This window comes from Homo sapiens, chromosome 17 (genome assembly GCF_000001405.40).
Source record: "Homo sapiens chromosome 17, GRCh38.p14 Primary Assembly".
NCBI lineage: Eukaryota > Metazoa > Chordata > Mammalia > Primates > Hominidae > Homo > Homo sapiens.
The window spans coordinates 5,837,419-5,859,498 of NC_000017.11; the positions used below are offsets into that span (position 1 = coordinate 5,837,419).

A 22,080-nucleotide genomic window follows, 5' to 3' on the forward strand; every position below is an offset into this window, starting at 1 on the left:
GATGGGTGGATCCCCTGAGGTCAGGAGTTCAAGACCAGCCTGGCCAACATGGTGAAACCCTATTTCTACTAAAAATACAAAAATTAGCCGGGCGTGGTGGCATGCACCTATAATCCCAGCTACTCAGGAGGCTGAGGTGGGAGAATTGCTTGATCACTTAAACCTGGGAGGCCGAGGTTGCAGTGAGCCGAGATGGCGCCACTGCACTCCAGGCTGGGCGACAGAGCAAAACTCTGTCTAAAAAAAAACCAAAAAACAAAGCACAAATTGGGAGGTGGGAAACAGACAGGGAAGGGAAAAAAAGCCCATAACACGTGCATTCGTGAAGGGGTATCACTGTGAGCAGGAACTCAGTCCGGTGGGGATCCTCTGAGGAATGGTGACGCTTGCTCAGGATCATCCCAATGAGAGGTGGGAACTGGGAGTGCATCTATTTACTCCCATCTCCCACTGGCTGAGGGTTGTCTCCAGGGCTGGTCACTTCTCCATGCTCATGGGTTGTGCATTTGGGAAGCTGGACACGTTCTGTGGGGGAGAGGACACCCTTAGGCTGAGAAGCAGAGAGACCCAGGCTCTTGTCTAGGGAGGCAGCCAGCGAGCTGGAACAGTCTGCCTCAGCTCCAGATAAACTCAGAAGCTGGCCACAGGGCTGTGGACAGCGTGTCCACTATGAGGGCCCTGTAGTGAGGGACAGTTTTGCTTGTTCAAGGAGCCAAAAGGACTGAACAGGTGATGGAGGACAGGAGGAGCTGGGCTGGAGAGGTGGGTAGAGGCCAGGCCCCCAATGCCCAGCCACCAGCATAGGGGCTGTGGATTTTCTAAGTACAGAAGAAGTCACAGAGGGTTTCAAGCAGAAGTGCAAAATGAGCTGAGGGTAATTTTTAAAATATGAGAGAGGAGTAAATGCCTGGAGAAGGTAAGGAAACTTGGGCTCCAGGGCATATGGGCCTCTGAGAGGAGCAGGGATGCATCTTCTATTAAGACAGGAGCAAGAGTGGGCACCCGCCTCACACAGGGTTGGCCTAGGAACAGGAGGGAGCTTCTGTTGTTATTTTCTTTTCTTTCTGCCCTGGAGAATGAGGTGCCCCCACTGGCCAAAATGGGAGTTGGGAGGGGATTAAAGGAGAGAGAAGTGACAGTTTTCTTTCTTTCTTTTTTTTAATTTTTTTTTTTTTTTTTTTTTTTTTTGAGGTGGAGTTTCACTCATTTTGCCCAGGCTGGAGTACAGTGGCGCTACCTCGGCGCACTGCAACCTCCGCTTCCCAGATTCAAGTGATTCTCCTGCCTCGGCCTCCTGAGTAGCTGGGATTACAGGCGTCCTACACCACACTTGGGTAATTTTGTGTATTTTTAGTAGAGACAGGGTTTCACCATGTTGGCCAGGCTGGCCTCGAATTCCTGACCTCAGGCAATCTGCCTGCCTCGGCCTCCCAAAGTGTTAGGATTACAGGCGTGAGCCTACATGCATAGCCGACAGAACAGTTTTCTAAGACAGCCACAAAGTGAACCCAAGAGATTAATACGGGAGGGCGGTCCAGAGGGCTTAGTCTCTGAGTGAATTCTGTGGTCATGAATTGAAAGTGTAACAAATCAGAATCAGGTCATTTGAAGTGATTTTCTTGGGTGACATTTAGCTGCTCTGGTGTGGGTGAGCAGAAGTGAGACAGTTGGATTGGAGCAGGCTGGGGTTTGGCCAGGAGAGTGCAGCAGAGGCAGCGAGAAAAGGGTGCTGGGGGCCTCTCAAGAGAGCAGGGGGAATGGGGTTGGTGGCTGGAACCCAGGGCCCCCTGTCTGTATGTGCAGGGCTCTTGAAAGATGTGCACCACAGGGAGTCAATTTGGCTATGGTTTTTGAGTTTGTGCTCCACGACTGAAAATTCATTTATTTCCCACACCACCCTCTCTCCACTTCATTCCCTTTCATTCATTAGAGTAATTGTGAAAAGTATATGAAGTATCTCAATATTTTTTTGAGTATAAAAACCTATTTTAAACATCAAATTGTTTTCTAGGCTTCCAAATGAGTTGTTTAACATCCACCGAGATAGAAAATATCCAATCAAAAGCTATACTAGGGGGACATTTATTTATGGAGCTATATATTTCACAGGTATTACCTCAATACAGTCTTATTTTATAAAATTTAAATACAGAGCAAACCATGGTCAGTTAAAATTTCCAAATGCGAGTCAAGGTTTATTGCTTATTAATGAAGGGTTCTAACACAGGTAGCAAAGGGAGTGAGCTGTTCAAAGATCCTGGGAGAGAGATTTGCCTCTCTTAGCTGGACATGGACCTTTCTTTCTTGCCTCGTTGTCACCTAGCTAGACACAGCTTGTTGTCTGGCATCACGTGGTCATAAAAAAATCAGGTTCCTCTCAGTGGTGGGGCATGGATAATTTGGAACCACCATCAGACATGACTCGCTAATCAAAAACACCAAGTCACAGATCTGAGAAGTAAAGGATAGCGAATTGATCTGGGCCTATTAATTGAATGTTTCAAGCAACAGGGTTTATATCCCGTTCACCCTCAGGTATCACTCACAGGCCCAGGGCCTGGCCTTTCACTGAAGCTCTCAAAACATATCTCCAACCTGCTCTCAAAGACGATGAACGCACAATTTGCTTCCACCTCAGTTTTGGGCAAAACATCACTTTCTTCTTCTTTTTTTTTTTTTTTTTGTTTTGAGACGGAGTCTCTCTCTGTCGCCCAGGCTGGAGTGCAGTGGTGCGACTTCGGCTCACTGCAAGCTCCGCCTCCCAGGTTCACGCCATTCTCCTGCCTCAGCCTCCTGAGTAGCTGGGACTCCAGGTGCCCGCCACCGCGCCCAGTTATTTTTTTGTATTTTTAGTAGAGACGGGGTTTCACCGTGTTAGCCAGGATGGTCTCAATCTCCTGACCTTGTGATCCGCCTGCCTCGGCCTCCCAAAGTGCTGGGATTACAGGCGTGAGCCACCGCGCCTGGCCAAAACATCACTTTCATACATGAAAGTCGCCATTTCTTTACTTATTACTCATACTCCCTTCCCTGTGGGCAACTGTATTAGCCAAATTTTGCATGGCTACCTGAGACTAGGTAATTTATAAAGGAAAGAGGCTGAATTGGTTAATAGTTCTGCAGACTGTACAGGAAGCATGACGGCATATGCTTCCAGGTGAAATGGGAAAGGTTCCCTTGTCCCCCTCAGAGGGCACGTGATGGGGGCGTGGCTCCCTTCTTCAGTGCCCCACTGCTCAAACCTCTAGGGGAGCATACAGATGGGCAGGCTGTGGGGCTCCGACCCCAAGGCAGTGTCTAGGGGTGAATGTTGGCAGCTCCTGAAGCCCCAGTGGGTGTGTGTTACAGGGTGCTCTTTTAGTGTGTGGTCTGTAGGCGGCTTGTGTTAACCAGCTCAAGTAGAGCCCCTTCCTTATCAGAAGGACAGAGGGATTTCTGTATCCCGGGGTTTCTTGCCTTGGTGTACCAGAATAATCGGATCACACGCGGGCTTGGAGAATGAGTGCAAGGTTTTATATTGAGTAGAAGTAGCTCTCAGCAGATGGGGGAGTCAGAAGGCAGATGGTTTTCCCTTGGAGTCAGGCTGCTTGGCTGCCAGGCTCAACTCTGACCACTCAGGCCAAACTCCACATCCTTCCTCTGCTCGATGGCCTGCCGGCCTGCCAGTGCCTGGCGGCCTGCTCTTCTGCCAGCATGCTCTCCACGAGCAGGGGGTTGTGTCTTCTTCCGCCGATGTATTCCTTACGACGTCCAGCAGCTTTATGTCTGCCTGCAAGAGTCTTGTTTTTTTTGTCGTTTTGGTACAGAGTCTCTCTCAGAGATTAAATATTAATCAATATTATTAATATATCATATTAATATATCACATTGTATTAATATGATAATAAAATATCACATTAATATAATATAACATTAATATAATATAAATATATAACATTAATATTAATAAATATAATAATATTCATAAATATAATATTAACATATTATATTATATAAATTGTATATTATATATGCATAATATATTTTATATAATATAAATATATTATATTATATATACTATAATATATAATAAATATATAAATATTAATATGATATATATGTTATATATAGTATATAATAATTACATAATATATATGTAATATATGTAATTATATATTATATATTATAATTACATGATATATATGTAATTATATATAATATAATGTATGTAATTATTATATATAATATTTTGTTATAATATATAATATATCATATGTAATTACAATATATGCATTATATATGTAATCATAATATATAATATATGTAATTATATAATATATGTAATTATATATAATATATATTTAATTATAATTAAAATTATATATGTAATTATATTATAATTAGAATTATATATAATATAATATATTATAATTACCTATATTATATATGTAATTATAACTATAATTATAATATATGGACACCCCCTACCAGATGGGGAGTAATATCCCCCTCTCCTCCACTTGGAAATTATGATCCACCTCGCTGGGGGGTGGAAAACCCCTGCGAGATGGGGAGTGATATCATCCTCCTCTCCCCCCTGGATATTACCACCCACCTCGCAGTGGGGTGGGCACACCCTGCGAGATGGGGAGTAATATCATCCTCCTCTCCCCCACTGAATATTACGACCTGCCGTGGACCCACAGCGTGTTTACGATATTGTGAGTAGTATCATCTCTCCCTCTGGAAATTACGAACTATTTCACAGACGGGTGTACACTGTCTGCAGTATTGGGGGTAATATGATCCTCTCCCCTGCTGGATATGAAGAAGAATATCCCAGGAGTGTTTATACCCCCTGCGATATTTGGTGTCATATCATCCTCTCCCACATTGAAGTTAGGAACAATATCACTGGGGGCGTGTACACCCCATGCGATATTGAATGTAATATCATCCTCTTCTCTCCTGGATCATGGGAACAATATCATGGGGGGAGGGTGCACACTTTCTGCAATATGGGGATTAATAACATCTTCTCGCCTTCCGGATATTAGGAACAATGTCACACGAGGGTTTACACTTTCTTCGATATTGGGAGTAATGTCATCCTCTCCTCTTTTGAATGTTAAGAACAATATCACGGGGGGATGTACACCACCTGAGATATTGGGAGTAATGTCAGGCTCTCCCTTTCCTGGATATTACGAACAATATCACAGCGTGGGTGTACACCTCCTGCTATATGGGGTGAATATCATCCTCTACCTTCCTGGATATTAGGAACAATGTCACTGGGTACACAGCCTGCGATATTGTACTAAATATCCTCTCCCCCTCCAGATATCAGGAACAATATCACAGAAGGGTTGCACACTCTCTGCGATATTGGGAGTAACATCATTTTTTCCTTCCCTGAATATTAGGAGCAGTATCCTTGGGTGGTTGTACACCCACTGTTATATTGGGAGTAATGTCATACACTTCCCCCTGGATTTTAGAAGCAATATCACAGGGTGCAGTGACGCGACCTCGGCTCACTGCAACCTCCATCTCCCGGGTTCAAGCGATTTTCCTGCGTCAGCCTCCCGAGTAGCTGGGATTACAGGCACCTGCCGCCATGCCCAGCCAATTTTTTGTATTTTTAGTAGAGACAGGGTTTCATCATGTTGGCCAGGCTGGTCTGGAACTCCTGACCTCAAGTGATCTGCCTGCCTTGGCCTCCCAAAATGCTGGGACTACAGGCATGAGCCACCATGCCCAGCCAGGGTCTTGTTTTTTATTTTATTTATTTATTTATTTATTTTTTTGAGAGGGAGTCTGGCACTGTTGCCAGGGTTCGAGTGCAGTGGCACAATCTCGTCTTACTGCACCCTCTACTTCCTGGGTTCAAGTGATTCTCCTCCCTCAGCCTCCCAAGTAGCTGGGATTACAGGTGTCCACCACCACGCCCAGCTAGGTGTTTTTTTTTTTTTTTTTTAATGTGTTTTTAGTAGAGACGGGATTTCACTATGTTGGCCAGGCTGATCTCAAACTCCTGACCTCTCGATCTGCCCACCTAGGCCTCCCAAAATGTTGGGATTACAGGCGGCCCAGCCGGGTCTTGTGTTTTTATAGGCACAGGATGGGCCCCTGGCGGTCCAGGGTGGTCTTGGGAAATGCAACATTTGGGCGGGAAGGCAGGAGCGCCTGTCCTCAGCTACGTCCATGGGGGTGGAGCCCTAGCCAGGGACCAAGCCCTCCTTTACCCAGCACTTTCCTTCCCTGCTCCCGAATCATGGGTAGGACTCAGGCAGCTTCCAGTCATGGCGAAAGGCAAAGGAGGAGGGAGGTGTCACACATGACAGAGCAGGAACAAGAGACAATGGTGCAGGAGGTACTATACACTTTGTAAGTATATAGTGATCCCGTGAGTGAGATATCGCGAGATCTCACTATCACGAGAACAGCACCAAGTAGACAGTGCTAACCATTCATGAGAAATCCACCCCCAAGATCCAATCACCTCCCACCAGGCCCCACCTCCAACATTGGGGATTACAGTTCAAGATGATATTGGGTGGGGACACAGATCCAAACCATATCAGTAACCAACATCAACACCTTGGGTTCCATTCTTCCAATGTCTTTGTGTGTGTGTGTGTGTATGTGTGTGTGTGTAAGAAAAATATAAACATAAATGGTGCCATACCATGCAAATTATTTTTCAATTTTATTTTACTTTTTGATAAGTGTTGGGCATCTTTCTATGTCAGTGCATGAAGGACTACTACATTATTTTAATGTATGCAGAGAATTCCATGGTCCCACAGTAGGTCAATCTTTAGCCACTCTCCTATTGATACACATCTACAAATTTCCCAACCCCCAGCGTTTTGTGCTAGCAAACCAGGGTACAAAAACTGCTTTTGTATGTATATCTTTGTGCGCAGGTGGGTTTCCAGGAATGAAATTGCTAGGGTAAAGGGAATGCCCATTTAAACATTGGTCGATGACGCCTAATGGGTTCCAAATGACCTCACAAGTTCTCAAATGCTTCCAGCAAGTATCTGAAAGCAGTTTTCACACATCCTTGCTAATATTTGTTACTATCAATCTTTTTAATTTTTTGGCAATATAATGAGTATAAAATAATATCTCATTATTGTTTTAATTTTCATTTCCCTGGTTACTAGCGGAAGCTGTGCATTTTCTCCTATGATTATCGGCATTTCTATTTTTCTTCTGTGAATTGCCTATTTATATCATTTGTCTGATTTTATTGTGTGTTTTATTGATTTGTATATAATCTTGATATAGTTTGGCTATAAATTCTATGTGAGATAAGTGTGTTGCATATAATGTCTTCTATTTGCTGTTTGTATTTTAACTGTATTTGAGGTGCCATTTTTCAACAAAAATGTTTTAAAATTTTATGAGATTAAAAATGTTAATCCTCTATTATATGGCTTCTGGGTTATATGTCTTGTTTTAGGAAAATCTTTCCAATACCAAGATTATAATAATTACATCATAGTTTTATTCCAACTCTTTTATAGTTTTTTTTTTTACATTTAGCATTTTTATCTAACAGGAATTTATTTTTTGTATGGTACAAGTTATGTATCTAAGTTATTTTTTTCAAATGGATATGGAGTTTTCTTTAAACTGTTTATTGAATAGTTCTTTCTTTCCTAGGAATTCAAAATGCTTTTATAGCAAATAATATTTTGCTACTAATAATAAATGCACTTAGAACAGTTTCTAATTCCTTATTATATCATTACTGTAGTCATTGTAGATGAAATTGCCATATATACACAAAACTGTAGATTTGATTCCATTCCTGTGATCCGTATATCTATTTATCTCAGTCAGTTCAGGCTGCCGTCATAGAATACCATAGGCTGGGTGACTTAAACAACAGAAATTTCTTGCTCACAGTTTCGAAGACTGGGAAGCCTAAGATTAGGGTGTCTGCACAATAAGATTTTGTTGAGGAAAAGGTACTTTCTTGGTCCACAGATGGTTGTCTTCTTTCTGTGTCCTCACATGGCACAGAGCAGAGAAAGGAATCAGGCTGTTTGCTGTTTCTTCTTATAAGGGCACCAATCTTGTCATGACGGCTCTAGTCACACGACCTAATGACCTCCCAAAGTCCCCGCTCCAGATACTGTCATTCGGGAGGCCATGGTTTCAACACAGGAAGTTTTGGGGGGACATAAAAATAAACATAATCCACTCCACTATTTGTATGCCTACACCACATCATTTAAATAAATATGTGCGTAATCTTTGTTCTAACATCTATCTGGGCAAATCCTCCCTCATTTTCTATTATTTGGCATTTTCTTTTTTCTTTTTCTTTTTTTTTGAGATGGAGTCTCACTCTGTTGCCCAGGCTGGAATGCAGTGGTACCATCACTACAACCTCTGTCTCCAGGTTCAAGCGATTCTCCTGCCTCCTGCCTCTGAGACTACAGGTGTGTGCCACCACACCCGGCTAATTTTTGTATTTTTAATAGAGATGGGGTTTCCCCACGTTGGCCAGGCTGGTCTCGAACTCCTGACCTCATGTGATCCACCCACCGCAGCCTCCCAAAAGGCTGGGATTACAGGCATGAGCCACTGCACCTGACCTATCTTTTGGCATTTTCTTGAGGATAGTCATACATACATGATTCAACCTCTACTCCTCTGTTGGTTGGAAGTCATATACTCTTCTGAAGTTTTTTTTTGTTTTTTTTGTTTTTTTTTTTTTTTTTTTTTTTTTGGCAGAGTATCTCTCTGTCGCCCAGGCTGGAGTGCAGTTGCGCAATCTCACTGCCACCGCAGTGGCACCATCACTGCGAGCTCTGCCTCCCAGGTTCATACCATTCTCCTGCCATGATCTCTCTAGATAACAATATGCTTTATTGACTTATCGAAGTCTAGTATCAGTTGGTACATTTACTTTCCTCTTGAACAGGGTAAGGATCTCAGAATACTTTTATTCCATGTTCTGCTCTCTTGGCTCATGTGCTGTTGTTCTGCATTTTAATTCTATATGCATTTAAGCCTTCACAGGGAATATTATTAGTTTTTAAAATAAACTCTGTTCATTTTGGTTTATCCATATATTTACCATTTTTTTTAATTCCTTGTTGTTAATTTGCACTATTGCATCTGGGATCATTTCCTTTTATATTTTCTTTAGTTCAAATTGGTTAGTGGTGAAGCCCCTTGGTCGTTTGCTGCTCTAAAAATGTCTTTATTTCAAATTGTTCTTGAAAAGTATTTTCACTGGGTATAGAATTCTAGATTGGCAGTATTTTCTTTTAGTCCATTGGAAATACCACCCTTCTGTCTTCTGTATTCCACTGTTGCTGTTGAGAAGTCAGCTGTAGGTCTGTTTCTTCTTAGAAGTGATACCTTTCGATTTTCTCTCTGTCTTTGGTTTTATGCAGTTTCACTGTGATGTATCTGGGAATACATTTATTTTTATTTATTTTGCCAAGGAGCCATTGGGGTCTTGAATCCATGGATTAATTTATTTCACTAGTTTTGGAGATTTTAAAGCCATTTTACTTGTTTAAATATTGCTTCCAACGTATTCTCTCTACTCTCCTTCCAGGACTTCAGTTAAACCCATGTCAGTCTTTCTCAACACATCCCCTATGTCTCTTACTCTTTTTTCTGTAATTTCCATCTCTTTGTCTTTTGGCACTTCATTCTAAATATTTTACCTAACATATATTTCAGTTCATTAATTGTCTCTTCATTTGTGTCTCAAGTTCTTAATTTTAATCATTGTACTTTTAGCTTATAATATCTATTTGGTGCTTTTTTTTTTTTTTTTTTGAGATCGAGTCTTGTTCTGTTGCCCAGGCCGGAGTGCAGTGGCACAATCTTGGCTTACTGCAACCTCTGCCTCTGGAGTTCAAATGATTCTCCTGCCTCAGCCTCCCGAGTAGCTGGGACTACAGGCACCTGCACCATGCCCAACTAATTTTTTGTATTTTTAGTAGAGACAGGGTTTTACCATGTTAGTCAGGATGGTCTCGATCTCCTGACCTCGTGATCCGCCTGTCTCAGCCTCCTAAAATGTTAGGATTACGGGCGTGAGCCACCGCACCCTGCCTATTTGGTGCTTTTTCAAATCTGCTTTGACATATTTTACGTTGCTAGTTCTTTTTCATTTGGTTCTGCCAGGTGCTAGCAATCTCAGATCACCTTAATCCCATTTCAGGTTTGAAATATTCTAGAACACCTGGTAACTTGAGACTGAGAGGCAGCCTGTGTAATGGTTAGTTTACTTCTGGTTCCTCCTTAGGCTTAGAACTTTGGCATCTCAGCTCTTAGTGTGAGTGTGTCATTAAGGTTCCTACCCCTGTCCCTCTTGTCTTGTGAATATTTCAAAATGGGTCTTAGCTTATAAATTACTTCTTTTGGATTTGTAATTGCTTGGGGAACAAAGGTGGCCTTCAATGGCAGGCTCACCTCTTTCAATTTCTATCTTATTTTAGATCTTGGTGTGATAATTTCTCACTATCTTGTTAGCTCTTGGATGCATTTAGGAAGGTATTTATTTATTTATTTTTAATTTTAAAAATTCCAATAGCTTTAAGAGTACAAATGGTTTTTGGTTACATGGATGAATCATATCGTGGTGAAGCCTAGGATTTTAGTGCGTCCATCACCTGAGTAGTGTACATTTCACCCAATAGGTAGTTTTTCATCCCTCACCCCACTCCCACCCTCCTCCTTTCTGAGTCTTCAGTGTTCATTACAACACTCTGTATGCCTTTGAGTACCTATTGTTTAGCTCTCACTTGGTCTTTGATTCCTGAGTTACTTCATTTAGAATAATGACCTCCAGGCCAGGTGCGGTGGCTCACGCCTGTGATCCCAGCACTTTGGGAGGCCAAGGCAGGCGGATCACAAAGTCAGGAGATGGAGACCATCCTGGCTAACACGGTGAAACCCCGTCTCTACTAAAAGTACAAAAAAAAAAAAAAACCCAAAAATTAGCTGGGCGTGGTGGTGGGCACCTGTAGTCCCAGCTACTCGGGAGGCTGAGGCAGGAGAATGGCGTGAACCCAGGAGGCGGAGCTTGCAGTGAGCCAAGATGGCGCCACTGCACTCCAGCCTGGGCAACAGAGTGAAACTCCGTCTCAAAAAAAAAAAAAAAAAAAAAAAATGACCTCCAGTTTCATCCAAGTTGCTGCAAAAGACATTATTTTGTTGTTTTCTTTAAATGTCTGAGTAGTATTACACACACACACACACACACACACGTATATATATAAACATTATCTGCTCATCAGTTGATGGGCACTTAGGTTGATTCCATATCTTTGCAATTATGAATTCTGCTGCTATAAATACAAGCATGCAAGTGTCTTTTTGATATAGTGATTTCTTTTTCTTTGGGTAGATATCCAGTAGTGGGATTGCTAGATCGAGGTGTGGATCTACCTTTAGTTCCAAAAAGTTGCTTTTAAATATTGTGTCCATCTTTGTTTGTCTCTGAGGTGCGCGTGTAGGTCGGTTTAAAGCAAAATGGTTTGCCATTATTTGAAGTGGAAGTCCTACATTTTCTTTTTCATTTAAATTTTGGAATTAGCGTTGTCAAGTTTAACAATCTCTCTTTGGAATTTCGAATGTGATTACTTTGTATTTATAGATACATTTGGAGGAGAAAAGACATTTTTACAGTATTGAGTCTTTCCATTCAAGCTTATTTAAAATTTATCTTATGCCTTAGTAAAGTTTTATACTTTTATTAATCGATAAATTGTCCACTCATTTATAAATTTATTTCTGAGTATTTTTATAAATTTCATTGTTAATGAGAATGAGATCCTCTATTCCATGAGCTGGCAATCTTTGTTTGTGAAGGGCCAGATAGTAAATATTTTAAGCTTTGTGGACCATATGATCTCTCTTTCAAATAACCAACTGTACCATTGCAGTCTCAAAGCAGCCCCAGACAATATATGAACAAATTGGTATAGCTATACTGAAATAAAACTTTATTTACAAAAACAGGTTGTGGAACGGGCTTGGCCGCATGGGCCATAATGTGCCAAGTCCTACTCTATCCTATTACGTTTTTCCAACTGTGAATTTGTGTTTTAAAGCTATTGATTTAAAAACTTTAATCTTTTTTTTTTCCTGAAATTTTCTTTTTTTTAAAATTTATTTTATTATTATTATACTTTAAGTTTTAGGGTACATGTGCACAATGTGCAGGTTAGTTACATATGTATACATGTGCCATGCTGGTGTGCTGCACCCATTAACTCGTCATTTAACATTAGGTATATCTCCTAATGCTATCCCTCCCCCCTCCCCCACCCCACAACAGTCCCCAGAGTGTGATGTTCCCCTTCCTGTGTCCATGTGTTCTCATTGTTCAATTCCCACCTATGAGTGAGAACATGTGGTGTTTGGTTTTTTGTCCTTGCGATAGTTTACTGAGAATGATGATTTCCAATTTCATCCATGTCCCTACAAAGGACATGAACTCATCATTTTTTATGGCTGCATAGTATTCCATGGTGTATATGTGCCACATTTTCTTAATCCAGTCTATCATTGTTGGACATTTGGGTTGGTTCCAAGTCTGCTATTGTAAATAGTGCCGCAATAAACATATGTGTGCATGTGTCTTTATAGCAGCATGATTTATAGTCCTTTGGGTATATACCCAGTAATGGGATGGCTGGGTCAAATGGTATTTCTAGTTCTAGATCCCTGAGGAATCGCCACACTGGCTTCCACAATGGTTGAACTAGTTTACAGTCCCACCAACAGTGTAAAAGTGTTCCTATTTCTCCACATCCTCTCCAGCACCTGTTGTTTCCTGACTTTTTAATGATTGCCATTCTAACTGGTGTGAGATGGTATCTCATTGTGGTTTTGATTTGCATTTCTCTGATGGCCAGTGATGATGAGCATTTTTTCATGTGTTTTTTGGCTGCTAAATGTCTTCTTTTGAGAAGTGTCTGTTCATGTCCTTTGCCCACTTTTTGATGGGGTTGTTTGCTTTTTTCTTGTAAATTTGTTTGAGTTCATTGTAGATTCTGGATATTAGCCCTTTGTCAGATGAGTAGGTTGCAAAAATTTTCTCCCATTTTTGTGGGTTGCCTGTTCACTCTGATGGTAGTTTCTTTTGCTGTGCAGAAGCTCTTTAGTTTAATTAGATCCCATTTGTCAATTTTGTCTTTTGTTGCCATTGCTTTTGGTGTTTTAGACATGAAGTCCTTGCCCATGCTTATGTCCTGAATGGTAATGCCTAGGTTTTCTTCTAGGGTTTTTATGGTTTTAGGTCTAATGTTTAAGTCTTTAATCCATCTTGAATTAATTTTTGTATAAGGTGTAAGGAAGGGATCCAGTTTCAGCTTTCTACATATGGCTAGCCAGTTTTCCCAGCACCATTAGAGTCCAGGACCAGATGGATTCACAGCCGAATTCTACCAGAGGTACAAGGAGGAACTGGTACCATTCCTTCTGAAACTATTCCAATCAATAGAAAAAGAGGGAATCCTCCCTAACTCATTTTATGAGGCCAGCATCATCCTGATACCAAAGCCGGGCAGAGACACAACCAAAAAAGAGAATTTTAGACCAATATCCTTGATGAACATTGATGCAAAAATCCTCGATAAAATACCGGCAAACCGAATCCAGCAGCACATCAAAAAGCTTATCCACCATGATCAAGTGGGCTTCATCCCTGGGATGCAAGGCTTGTTCAATATACACAAATTAATAAATGTAATCCAGCATATAAACAGAACCAAAGACAAAAACCACATGATTAACTCAATAGATGCAGAAAAGGCCTTTGACAAAATTCAACAACGCTTCATGCTAAAAACTCTCAATAAATTAGGTATATTAATGGGACATATCTCAAAATAATAAGAGCTATCTATGACAAACCCACAGCCAATATCATACTGAATGGGCAAAAACTGCAAGCATTCCCTTTGAAAACTGGCACAAGACAGGGATGCCCTCTCTCACCACTCCTATTCAACATAGTGTTGGAAGTCCTGGCCAGGACAATTAGGCAGGAGAAGGAAATAAAGGGTATTCAATTAGGAAAAGAGGAAATCAAATTGTCCCTGTTTGCAGATGACATGATTGTATATCTAGAAAACCCCATTGTCTCAGCCCAAAATCTCCTTAAGCTGATAAGCAACTTCAGCAAAGTCTCAGGATACAAAATCAATGTACAAAAATCACAAGCATTCTTATACACCAATAACAGACAAACAGGGAGCCAAATCATGAGTGAACTCCCATTCACAATTGCTTCAAAGAGAATAAAATACCTAGGAATCCAACTTACAAGGGACGTGAAGGACCTCTTCAAGGAGAACTACAAACCACTGCTCAAGGAAATAAAAGAGGATACAAAGAAATGGAAGAACATTCCATGCTCATGGGTAGGAAGAATCAATATCGTGAAAATGGCCATACTGCCCAAGGTAATTTATAGATTCAATGCCATCCCCATCAAGCTACCAATGACTTTCTTCACAGAATTGGAAAAAACTACTTTAAAGTTCATATGGAACCAAAAAAGAGCCCGCATCGCCAAATCAATCCTAAGCCAAAAGAACAAAGCTGGAGGCACCACGCTACCTGACTTCAAACTATACTACAAGGCTACAGTAACCAAAACAGCATGGTACTGGTACCAAAACAGAGATATAGATCAATGGAACAGAACAGAGCCCTCAGAAATAACGCTGCATATCTACAACTATCAGATCTTTGACAAACCTGAGAAAAACAAGCAATGGGGAAAGGATTCCCTATTTAATAAATGGTGGTGGGACAAACTTTAATCTTAAAGTTAGCAAATTTAATAAACTCTGATTAGTTCTACTGCTTTTTCATCTGATTCTCCTGGATTTTCCAGAGAGGTGAGTATATGGTCTGTAATGCTGACAAATCTTCCTCTTTTTACCTGATAATTACACATTCTATTTAATTTTTGTGTCTTGTTGCATTGACTAGAACCTCCAGTACAATGCTGTGTAATTAGAGTGATAACAATCATCTTAATATTTTATATTTTCTGTTATGAAAATATTTCAGATGTTTTTACCATTATCTGTGATGTCTGCTGTGAGTGATTGACAGATTAGCTTTGTAAGATTAAAAAAGTTTTCTTCTATTTCTAGCCTACTGGGGGCTTAAGAATGTTGAATTTGATCAAATACTTTTCCACCATCAATTGAGATAATCTCATGTTTTTATTCATTTACTTTATTAATGTGATGATTTACAACGACTAATTTCCTGACATTCAATTGCTCATATATTTCTGGGGAAAATTTTTTCTTTGTGATAATGTATTAGTAGTTTAGTACATTGCTGCATTTGATATGCAAATATATTATTTAACATTTTCACATTCAAGAGCTTGAATGAGATTGGCTTTCAGGATATTTTTTGGTGTTACACTTACTCAGTTTTGGTATCATGGTTATGGATAACTTACAGAATGAATTGAGATAAATTCTATGGAAACTTCATCTGAAATATTTCATATAATTAGGTATTTTCTGTTTATTCAGGATTCGGTATAACTGGTCCCCAAATCTTCATAATGTTGTGCCTATTTGGAGTGTAATTATTGATCATTATTTCAATTTCTTCCAAAATTAATTCATTCAGAATTTCTGTCCGTACTTGAGTACATCGAGGTAATTTTCCAAGAAAATAATTTATTTTTATCTAACTTTAAAAATCTATTTGATAAAATTATCAATTTTTTCCTATACTAAAAAAATCTTTTCCATATCTATAATTTAGGCATGTTTCTGATTCTGAATGTTATTTATTTTGCTGTTTCTCTTATTTCTTCACTGTAATTACTGGAGATCTGTACATTTTATTGGTATTTTTAAAAAGCTTTCATTTTACTGATCAAGTCTACTCTTTGTTCTATTTGGTTTTTGCTTTCATATACTATGCTATTACTACCTATGTCCAGAGGGAAAATATTTTCATATATTATTAGTGAGATTTTGATGGTTAACATTTTAATTTTTCAGGTATTTGATTAATTTGAAAGAGATACTTTATTCCTCTTTGAAAGCCTGTTCTGAGTGCTACTGAACTCTTAGTTCATCTGTGCATTGAGCGTGATTCCTCTCTGACATAGCGTTGGTTTTCTGTAAGTGCTTGATGGGTTTTTATGTGTCCTCACTTCCAGGACACCTGAGCACTGTGTTTCCTGTGGCCCATCTGTGGCTATTATGAAGGAGGGGTGGGGCACACTCAGGAGTGACGGCTTGATCGGGAGCTCGTTTTCCTGAGCGTGCCATCCTTCCTCGTGGTCAGTGTGGTCCGATGGCCTCACTGGCCACGTTGGACACAGCTTCACACTCTTGGCCTCAACACTATCTGTCCAGGGGAGAGGGGCGGGGCTGAGCTGCAAGGAGTCGTGATAACACCTGTGCAATGTGTCTATCAGGGAAGCTTGTTAGAGATTCAGCTACCCTGAGTGCTGCTTCCCACTCATGCCCTCTCTGAATGACCAGAGTCTACTCTCTCTTCTATTGAAGGCCTTTGAGTTTGGAATTCCCTGGAATGACTTCTCCCTTCAATGGGGTCTTCTCCTTCAGCAGTTTCCTGTGGTTTTGTTTCATTTCAGATAAAATCCAGTTTATATTTCTCAAAAACGTTCACCATTTCTGAAATACAAGTATCACTTTTTATTGTTTTCCTGGCCTATTATATATTTTTAAAGTCATTTTATTTTGTTTCATAGAATTATAAATAGCCATGCTCACTACTACACATGCAATTGCACTTTTAAATGGGTCCGTGTTTTATTAACCTCAAACACTTATCCACATTTGAAAGATAGTTGTATATCTCTACAAGAGATGAGAGTTACACAAATATAAACTACATAAGAGTTTTTCTGTACCGAGAGTATTTAGTACTCCTGTGAATTCAAGGCTCTGCAGTGATCTACTGCAGTATACAGGAGGAGAATAATGAGCTAAACCTCCAGACCAAATAGGGTGGCCACAGATTAGTACAGTAAGGCAAGTAAAAAGGAAAATGAATATAATCTATTTGTCCCTGTAATTTCCTTTTCTTTTTTCTGAGACAGAGTCTTGTTCCATCACCCAGGCTGGAGTGCAATGGCGCCATCTTGGCTCACTGCAACCTCCATCTCCCGGGTTCTAGCGATTCTCCTGCCTCAGCCTCCCTAGTAGCTGGGGTTACAGGCGCCCGCCACCATGCCTGGCTAATTTTTGTATTTTTAGTAGAGACAGGGTTTCATCATGTTGACCAGGCTGGTCTCGAACTCCTGACCTCAGGTGATCCATCTGTCTTGGCCTCCCAAAGTGCTGGGATTACAAACATGAGCCACCATGCCCAGCCTGTCACTCTAATTTTCTCTTTTGAGATTTATCAATTTGAAAAATATTTTTTTAATGTTAATGTGGCTTATATAAATTTCTGTATATGTGGGGGTGAAAGTGATGATGTATATAAATTAGGATAAGGAAAAATATGTTTGCTGAATACGGGTTTGATGGCTTTCAGTCTGTTTGCTAGTGATTGTTAAACACGATACGTGTGTTGGAGGTCCCCGAGATCCTCCCCATGGTGGATTTGCTAGGGAGACTCGCAGGACTCAACATGTAGTTGTTGTCACAGCTGTGGTTCATTACAGCAAAAGGATACAAAGAAAAATGAGCCCAGGGAAAAGGCATGTGAGGTAAAGTCTGGAGAAAGCCAGGTGCAAGTTTTCCAAAGTTGTCTCTAGTGAAGCCACACAGGACACACGTAAGTCCTCCAGCAATGAGTTGTGATAACACCTTTGAAATGTGTCTATCAGTGAAGCTCATTAGAGATTCATTACCAAGGGTTTTTATTGGGAGCAGGTCACTAGGTACTCTGTGTCTAGCATGGACCAAATTTGGTTCTGGCTTTCCAGAAGAAAAGCAGGTGTCAGCATAAACCATATTGTGCATGCAAATGGTTTAAGCACAGGGAGCCATTCTTACCCTTTAGGCAAAATTTTGCATCAGGATAAAGAACTGTCTACCATTCAAGTTCCCAGATGCCAGCCAAGGACCGGCTTTGTAAGCAGCCCTTTCTAAGGACAGCAGTCCTGGCCCTACTATGTGAACTCTTTTCTGCACCATCCCTAACCTTTGCTTTTGAGTAGAGTGATGGAGCAAATAACACGTTACTGACTAAATCTGCAACACAGCTTTTTTCCCCTTCTTTTTTCCTACTCAAAAGCCAGGAGCACGTGGGGCTGCTTCAACTTTCTTACAAAATTGGTGTGTGAGAGTTCTTATTGATTGCCATAATCTGACCAATCCATTCAATGACTGATTACTTCTTTCATGAAATACTTGCGGCGTGTCTACTATATACTAGATGCTGATATGGAGACGGATGGAGGGGTGCATTTGTTTAATAGTCAAATGCTTGCACCTGACCCATAAATGTAGGCCTTCCTTCAAGGCCTTCCTTATGTAGGCCTACATAAATGTAGACCTCATCCTTGGTCAACTTTTTCCTGCCATTTTTCTTCTTCTTCTTCTTCTTTTTTTTTTTTTTTTTTTTTTTTTTTTTGAGATGGAGTCTCGCCCTGTCGCCCAGGCTCGAGTGCAGTGGTGCAATCTCTGCTCCCTGCAAGCTCCGCCTCCCAGGTTCACGCCATTCTCCTGCCTCGGCCTCCCGAGTAGCTGGGACTACAGGCGCCCGCCACCAAGCCCGGCTAATTTTTTATATTTTTAGTAGAGATGGGATTTCACTGTGTTAGCCAGGATGGTCTCAATCTCCTGACCTCGTGATCTGCCCGCCTCGGCCTCCCAAAGTGCTGGGATTGCAGGCGAGAGCCATCGCCCCCAGCCCCTGCCATTCTTCTTACAATTCCGATGACTTCAATTTCTCCCTATAAACTTATGCTTCTTGAAACTATATCTCTAGCCTAAATCCCTCTCCCATTTTCCTAAGACCCCCATATCTGACTGTGGACTATCTCCTTAGGGCTCCTCCACAGCTGTCTCAAATTCAGTTTATTCAAGACTGAACTTGGCATTTTCCCCCAAGTCTGTTCCTCCTCTTTATGTTTCATATTCTGGTTAATGGTATCTCCATTTATCCCACTAATAAAATTACCTGGAAGTGATTGTTGACTCTTTCCTCTCCTCCCATCCCTAAAGCCTTGGTCACTTAGCAGTTAACTATTGCTGGGTAACACACCACCCCAGAAGTCAATGGCTTAAAACAATTGTTGTTATCACTGGCGGCTGAGTGAGCTGTGCCGGGCTTAGCTGGCGTGTCTCTCCTCTTCTTCCCAGGTCCATAAAAACACACCAAACCTCTCAAGGCACCAGCTTGGAACGGCATAGTGTTACCTCTGCCTTACTCTATTACCCAAGTAAGTCACAGGGCTGAACCCATACTCTGCCCGTTCAGTGGGAGGAGCTTCAAAGTCAAAAGGGAAAGGGTATGGATAGGAGAAGAGGTGAAGAATTGGAACCAATAGTGCAATTGCCCATGTTCACAAAGCCCTGGAGCAGTTCCCTCTTAAGTACCACCTCTTGCCTTCCATCGCCTTTGCTATGGCCCTCGTTCAGACCTTCTCAGTGCTCTCCTGGCCTACTGCAACATCCCTCTCTTGGATGTTCTTGCTTTTAGACTCTCCATAGGGCATCAGGTCTAGCTAGATGCAAATCTGAACTGAAGTGAAGAGTCCTCTAGGGCTCCCTGTACCCTCGGAGAAAGTCTGAGTTCATGCATGGCTTTCCATGATGCAGACCCTTCCTGGTGCCTGAAGCTTAGTTTCCGCTACTCTCCTTTTTCATCTTTTTATTCTGCCTTGCTAAGTTCTCTGGAGTTCCCACACACACTACGCAGTTTCACACCATCATGCTTTTGCACAGGTTACCTCGTGGGCCTGGAAAGTCCTTTCCCTCTTGCCTGCCCAGGGAGGCCCTCCACACCCTTCATTACTCTGTGGCATATTTTTCCCTGAAGTTTTCCAGAACTCTCCCCAGCCAAGGTGACTGTGCCTCCCTTAGTGTCCCCACCACCCTGGAACCCTGTGGGTTATACATGTATATAACATCTAATCATGTGGCCATGACGTTCTCTAGGCCTCATGTGTTGTATGCACCATTGTATGGCACAAAATTGGCTAATATCAAGCTACAACAGCAAAGCTGAGGTAGATGTGTCCAAGGCCATATGGCCTGCAAAGCCTGAAATATTTACTACCTGACCCTTTACAGAAAAAGTTGATTCAGAGGTTTGCACTTGGACCAGAAAGGCGACTTCCTAGGGTGAGTTGGTGGCTAACAACTCAGTGGGGCTTGGGCTGGATTTCCCCAACATGCTCATCAGGAAGGCAAAACCGGAAGTGCTGATAGCACTCAGGGCAGTGTTCCCGTACTCCTGGCCATTCTGTGTTGATTGGCATGACAAGTGTGGAAGTGTAGGGGCTCTTTTGTGATCTTGGGACAGGCTGGGAGCTTCTGTTCTCATTGTGCATTTCTGCTCTGTGGGCTTGGTGCTGCTGGTGGGGACAACCCAGGTCTGGCCTCCACAGGGACAATCACAGGGCATGCAGGTCTAAAGTCAAGGCCCCTTCAGAGGACTCTCCCTGTGGTCTGTAGACCTTCTTGCTAATTTTAGCAAGAATTCAATATATTTTTCACCAAATGATGGATGAATAGAGGGATGGTTGGTTGATTTCAGGTTCACAGGAAGAGGGTATTAAAGACTGCCTTTATACCTTGTGGGTGACATTAAATTGGAGCAATCATAAAATGAAACAGGGTTATATTTCTTCTAGTATTAATATACAGTAATTCTAATTGGACTCCTATGGTAATTCTTACTGGACTTATTTTTCACTTTGAGACTCAATTAATTTAGCAATTTTAATTGGGTGTGTGGAAATTCTTATAGGCCAATGCAGATATTGTTGTACATGTAAAACTTTTAGAGGTTAATCTAAATATTAGATCTTATTCTCTGGGGAGAGTTTGGGAGCAGCCACCATGGAACTGAATGCTACTAACAATTTAGAGCAGGGGTCAGCAAAATATGGTGGACCGGCCAAATTTAGCTTGCAGCTAATTTTGTAAATAAAGGTTTCCAGGAACACAGCCACACTTATTCATTTATATATTGTCTATGGCTAATTTCAAGCTACAACAGCAAAGCTGAGTAGATGTGTCCAAGGCCATATGGCTTGCAGAGCCTGAAATATTTACTATCTGACCCTTTACAGAAAAGGTTGATTTAGAGGCTTACACTTCAGGGCTTCCTAGGGTGAGTTGATGGCTAACAGCTCTGTAAATGTCCTGTGACCCCTCTTTTTATTTCATTTGGAAAAGATGCTGGGATTTCGCCAATGCTTAGAATTATATTTAATACATATGAGATTCCTGGGAGATACTTTGACAGGCATTATAAAGCATCTACTATGTGCTAAGTGCTAGAGATGCAAAGACCATCGGGCTTGCAAAGTCTAACCTTTTGCTGAGATGTTTTGGGCCCAACACTGCTGTCCAGCCATGGGGCTGTCTGTGAACCTGAGAATCATTATTCTGGGAGGGGTGAGATTTCCAATTGAGGCTTTTATTGACCTTTATGATCTGAGACTCAGAACCAAGCGATATTGGGAAGGACACACAGGCTTATGGAAGTTGTCCAACTTGAACAGTTTGGGTGAGATTTATCTGCAGGAGTGGCAGGCTTATTTCCCCTGACAATTTTTTTATGTTTCATTGGTCTTATTTCACTGCTTGGGAAAGATTTTCCCCTAATATTTTTTTGTTTATTTTTTTATCTGGTGATAATGTTTTTGAAAATACTAAGTGGTAGAAAAGACCACTCGGACACAGGGGATTTGAGCAAACCTAGGGCTTGGAAGAGACCTTTTGTCCTGATGAGTCCCCAGCACCATCATTAGAGCCAATGGCAGAGCTGCCCTGGGGTTCCTGGACCTCCTCCTGGCCAGTGAACTGGAGTCTTGCATCCCGTGACCATGAGAGACGCATTCTTTCCGAGTGTTCTTGGATCTTGGCATCCTTATTAGGGGAATCAGAGTTGAGGGCGATGGAGTGTCCC

General features: G+C 41.3%; 1 long non-coding RNA gene across 1 annotated transcript in view, besides 1 other annotated feature; it reads left to right on the top strand.

Moving 5' to 3' along the window:
• LOC339166 (uncharacterized) overlaps positions 1 to 22,080 on the top strand; it is a 158,463-nt gene that overhangs the window by 65,185 nt on the left and 71,198 nt on the right. The window lies entirely within an intron of this gene.
• Positions 93 to 594: an enhancer, noted in NCBI's record as "H3K27ac hESC enhancer chr17:5740831-5741332 (GRCh37/hg19 assembly coordinates)". NCBI's record gives its function as "activates a minimal SCP1, AML or CMV promoter by ChIP-STARR-seq in naive H9 embryonic stem cells {active_cell/tissue: H9 hESC(naive)}" and the evidence as "EXISTENCE:reporter gene assay evidence [ECO:0000049][PMID:30033119]".